The following is a 6,000-nucleotide window of genomic DNA, read 5'->3' as shown; positions in this document are numbered from 1 at the left end:
GGGATTCAATTATTCAGCATTTTTGAGATCTGACTAGTTGCAAGGTACTGTGCTATGTGTGGTGGTGGTGGGACACAATGGCAAGCAAAAAAAAAAAAGCAAACAAAACTCCAAAAACAAACCATCAACCCCCGCCCCCCACCCCAAAACACAGTGCCTGGTTTCTTGTGGCTAAATGTCTCGTGGCCTCAGAGAACCACACCAGAAGTGCAGGCTTGGCTAGAGTGGGAGATGCCACGTGATTTTGAGAGCCTCAAAGAGGAAATTGCCCCATTTGGGAAGGTGATGGAAGGCTTCCCTTAGGAGGCAGTCATTGCCCTGTGGACTGAAGGAAGCTAGGAGTTAACCAGCAAAGGTGGGAATGGAGAAGGGAGGAGAGGATTCCTGCCAGAGGGATGGTGCTGGAAGAAGGAGGCCACAGTCAGAGAAGGGGAGGAGGTTCCAGAGATGGATGGGGATGGGTGAGATTGCATAGTGGGATGAGGCCAGACCTGTAAGGTTTTGTAGCTTATGTGAAAAGCACTGGATGCCAATGGATTATTTATTTTTACTTTTATTTTTTGAGGTGGAGTCTTGCTCTGTTGCCCAGGCTGGAGTGCAGTGCCATGATCTCAGCTCACTGAAACCTTTGCCTCCTGGGTTCAAGTGATTCTCCTGCCTCAGCCTCCCTACTAGCTGGGACTACAGGTGCACACCATCCTGCCCGGCTAACTTTTGTATTCTTGGTAGAGACAGGGTTTCACCGTGTTGTCCAGGCAGGTCTCAAACTCCTGACCTCAGGTGATCTTCCCACTAGGCCTCCCAAAATGCTGGGATTACAGGCATGAGCCACCGCACGTGGCCGCCAATGCATGATTTTAATGGGGGGACTGGAACACCCTTTTGGCACTGGGAAAAGACCACCCTGGCTGTCGTATCAAGAATGGAAGGGAGGGCATGGGGTGAGGGCAAGGAACCCAGTTAGGAGGCTACTGCAGTGGTCCAGGTGAGAGATCATGGATGCTCAAGTTAGGATGGCAGGAAAGACAAAGAGAAGAAGCTTCATGATTAACAATTAGTAGGGCGTAGTACTGAGTTGGATCTAGAGGTGAGGGAGAGGGCACGGTGTGAGGGCAAGGAACCCAGTTAGGAGGCTACTGCAGTGGTCCAGGTGAGAGATCATGGATGCTCACGTTAGGATGGCAGGAAAGACTAAGAGAAGAAGCTTCATGATTAACAATTAGCAGGGCGTAGTACTGAGTTAGATCTACAGGTGAGGGAGAGAGGAGTGTATACAGGTGCTGAGATTTCTGAGGAGCAATAGCGGGGTGGATGGTGGTGGCGTTCACCGGCGTATAATACTCACTGATAGAGGTTCAGACCTGGGAGGGCATGAGCCTGACTTTGGTTTTGGACATGTCAACTTGAAGAGCTTTTGAGATATCTGCAGCAGAGGATGCTGATACACTACTACAGCTGTTCTCCCCTTATTCTTTTAATGAGAAGTCCTCCTGAATTTAACTGGGAATACGCCTGTTCAGTTAGAGACATTTCCTAACCTTCCTTGCATTTAGGTGTGTCTACGCAATTGACTTCTGGCCAGTGGGATGTGAGTGAAGGTGATGTGTGCAGCTTCCGGGTCATACCCTTGGCAGGAAATAACTTATGGCGTCCCTCCTTCCCCCGCCCCCCTGCCGCTTCCCCTTCCTGCTGGCTGGGAAGCAAATGTGGCAATAGAAATTGCCATGGTCTTCTTGAATCCAGAGCTAGGAACCTTGTATTGAGGATGGCAGAACCCCTCCATTAGCTTGGGCCTGCCTATTGCTGGACTGTGATTTGAGAGGGAAATGTACTTCTACCTTTCTTAAGGCATTGTATTTTTGGGTCTCTTTGTACCTCAACCCATACAGTATCCAAGGGGAGATGTTAGGAAGGCATTTGCATATATGGACCTGGAGCTCAGAGAAGAAATCTGCACAGGTGATATGAATTTGAGAATTCTTGACATGTAGGAATAATGAAAGCCATGACTGTGGATGAGATTGTCTAGAGGGAGAGATTACAGAAAGAGGAGAAGAGTGGTCTGGGATAGAGCCCTGAAGAATTCATATATTTAAAGGCTAAGCTTGGAGAAGATGAGTGATCAAAGAAAACTGAAAAGGCTCAGCTAAAGCAATGTATGGAAACCCAGGACAGAGTAGGCTCACGGAGTCCATGAGCAAAGAATGCTTTAAGAAGGAGGGAGCAGTGAGCAGTGCTTGACTTAAACAGTGTCCTTTAGTGAGCTTTCACTGTACATTGGCCGGCTTGGCCAGTGATAGATGGAGTGTTCTTGTCCAACCAAGGGCTTGTTTGCTAATGGGGGTTATTATTGGCTAATGCAACTTCATAAAAACTGTGCGTATCTCTGGCAAGAACATGGGGAGATCTAATCATTATTTCTCAATCCAGTTTTCATGATATATTATCCAGAAACACTAAAATTTGTCAAACAGCATGATGCTTCATATGAAACCCTAAACAACTCTAAGTTTTTTTTTGTATCATTTCTCTAGATTCTAAAAATTCTTTTTTTAAAAATTCAAATTTTTAAAATTGTGGTAAAAAAAATCCTATAAAATTTACCATTTTAACCATGTTTTTGTGTTTGGTATACTCACATTGTTGTGAAACAGATCTCCAGAACTTTCAGTCCTGCAAAACTGTAACTATTCCAATTAAACAAGTCATCACTGCACTTCTTCTCAGCCCTTAACATTCCCCAGGCTCCTTTCTGTCTCCATGAATTTGACTACTCTAGATATGCTATACAGGTGGCATCATTTAGATTTGTTCTTTTGGGCGTGGCTTATTTCACTGAGCATAATGTCCCCAAGATTCATCCACATGGTAGCATGTGATGGGACTTCCTTCTTTTTAAGGTTGAATATCCTTCCATTGAATGTACATATGTAGGGTAAACACACCTGAGAGCAATAATTCAAGCATACCCTGAGAATCACCCCGTGTGGCAGATGCCCCTGAATGTGTGTTCTGAACTAGAGAATCTGGGTGTGGCCAACCTGGAGATTTGTTCTTTGTCTATGAGGGACATCTGAGCCCCCTACCCATCCCATGGAACTTGGGCCATATAGAGGATTGAGGTCCTAAGTTTTGGGTTGGCTGAAGGTTGCCAAGTAGGAGTCATTAAGGGAAGGGTATTCAGTGAAAATGCTATGTAAACTGCATGCTGTTTGCAAGTGGTTTTCCTGCAGATGTGGGGCCCAGCCTGCTGCCACTGGACTGTTTCTGTATGTAAGGGGGTTCTCCTGTCCAGCCTGCTGCCACTGTATGTAAGGCCCTAAAAAAGCCACAGGTCTCGTTTGCTGGCTTGGGGTCTCTTCTTCAGCCTCTTGACCCTGGTGCCTTCCCTACCGAGGTTAATAGGGGTTCGGCACAACAACATGCCACATTTTGTTTCTACAAATTAATTTTAAAAGAATTCACCTTCCAAACACTTATTCATCTGGTTAAGTTTCTTTTGGCCTTGTCTATCTAGAAAGCAATAGAAGAGAGATGGCAAATTGGCTATCAACTTTCCTTCTTTTTTTAGTCGGACAACCTTGATTCCATAAAATAGAATGGGTGCTCCCACTACTGACTTTCTTCCAGAAAACTGACCCACTAAGCAGTCACTGGCAAACTTTCCCTGCAAAAGGCCAGATCGTCTGTATTTTTGGTCTTGTGTCCATACCGCCCCTCTAATTACTCAACTACTCACTTTCAGGAAGGCTACCTGTCTCTTGCATTTTTGTAGCTATTTGTGTATTTGTTCACTGTGTGTCTTCCCTGTTAGACTGCATATTTTGAAGGCAGAGGCTGTCCCCTCCCACTCTCAAGGAATTCCTAGCACCTGGCACATCACCAAACACATAGTGAAGGCTTCACATGTGACCAATTTCCTCGTGCATCATGTAGTTGATGGGTACCTATGAATAAGGGAGGAGACCACCCCCTCATATTGTCTTATGCCCAATTTCTACCTCCAAAGAAAGAAGAAGTAAAAACTAAAAGGCAGAAATGAAATCTACGGGCGGACAGCCCGGTGCCACGCCCTGGGCCTGGTAGTTAAAGATGACCCCTGACCTAACTGGTTATGTTATCTGTAGATTCCAGACACTGTATGAAAAAGCACTGTGAAAATCCCTGTCCTGTTCTGTTCCGTTCTGATTACCGGTGCATGTAGCCCCCAGTCACGTACCCCCTGCTTGCTCAATTGATGACAACCCTCTCACGCAGACCCCCTTAGAGATGTGAGCCCTTAAAAGGGACAGGAATTGCTCACTCGGGGAGCTTGGCTCTTGAGACAGGAGTCTTGCCAATGCTCCCGGCTGAATAAACCCCTCCCTTCTTTAACTCAGTGTCTGAGGGGTTTTGTCTGTGGCTCTTCCTGCTACATGATGAAGGGAATATGGCATCTGTTGACTGACTGGCTAACTTTGTCTTAAGCGGAGGGAGTGTCCCTACAGTGACAATCAATTTGGGAAGGACATATTTTCACATGTATTTGCCTAGAGGACAATGTCCAGTTGTATAAAATATTGGTATGTCATTTTAATCTGTGACATTTTCTACAATAAAAGTTTCTCAACCAAATGTCTTCTAACCCTTTCTAACTGTCAGGGGTTTGGCTGTCAATGAGCAGGAATTAAAATAAGAATTTATGACAATTTAATAGCACTTTGAGGGAAAAGGGCAGAAGTATTCTCAGGATAATGTAAGAGTTAATGGCTCTGTATTAACATGAAAAAAAATGTTTTCTCCCTCTTCTTTCTGTTCGTAGTGACTTCAGAGCTCTCACATATGATGTGTGTTGCTCATTACACCGAAGGCCCTGGTCAGTGGGTAAATGGGCCGCCCTCTCCTCTCAGCTCTGCTGTCTCTGCTGGGTGCTCCAGCATGGGCTGCATCCACTAGAGGGGCACCTTTTCCTTATTCATACATGGACTTTTTTTTTTTTTTTTTTTTTGAGATGGAGTCTTGCTCTGTCACCAGGCTGAGCAAGTGGCATGGTCTTGGCTCACTGCAACCTCCACCTCCCAGGTTCAAGCGATTCTCCTGCCTCAGCCTCCCGAGTAGCTGGGACTGTGGGCGCCAGCCACCACACCCCACTAATTTTTGTATTTTTAGTAGAGTCAGGGTTTCACCATGATGACCAGGATGGTCTTGATCTCTTGACCTCGTGATCTACCCCCCTCGGCCTCCCAAAGTGCTGGGATTACAGGCGTGAGCCACTGCACCCAGCCCATACATGGACTTCTTAAAGGCTTGCTGTGCTGGCTGACTCCTGTATCATTTGACTTTTGTAGAGGTTTTTGTCTGGTGTGTACAACAGTCTCCTGCCTTATCTTTCTGTCTCTTGAGTTTTCCCTCAAATAGTCCCTTCCCCAACTACTGCTAGATGAATCTCATCATTCCCATGTTCAGAAAATGTCAGTGGATGCCCAACACACGCACAGGGAACTACGGATTTCCTAGCCTGGACTCCAGGCCTCCTCCTCTGGCCCTGTCTCACTTGTCCTGTGTTGGCTGCCTCTACCTCCCACCAGACACACTATACTCACTCCACCTGAGCTGGACAATGCTGGCCTCCCAGCTTTATGGGGCTAGTGATCAGTAACAATGGGGAGCATTTATTGACACCTATGTGGGTGCCAGGCACGATGCCGTGAGTTTTGCATGCCCTAGCTCATGGACTCCTCACAACTCTGTGAGAGAGGTCCTACAAAGCTACATCCTTCCAACCTTAAAGAGCTTTGCGTGCTGTCTCCTCTACTGAAAACAACCTACAAAGCAGATTCTACAAAACCATGTCTGATGCATCTCTTCATTCTATTTCTCTTACCTTTTACACATGCATTAGCTGATCTGTCTCAAGGACTCTGTGTGGTAGATATTATTATTCCCACTTTTCAGCAGAAAACACCGAGGCTCAGAGACATTAAATGGTTTTCCCCAAGATCACATAGTAAATTAAGACAG

The sequence above is a fragment of the Homo sapiens genome, chromosome 6, assembly GCF_000001405.40.
Source record: "Homo sapiens chromosome 6, GRCh38.p14 Primary Assembly".
NCBI lineage: Eukaryota > Metazoa > Chordata > Mammalia > Primates > Hominidae > Homo > Homo sapiens.
The sequence above is the reverse complement of the archived record's forward strand: the minus strand, read 5'-3'. Positions refer to the sequence as shown.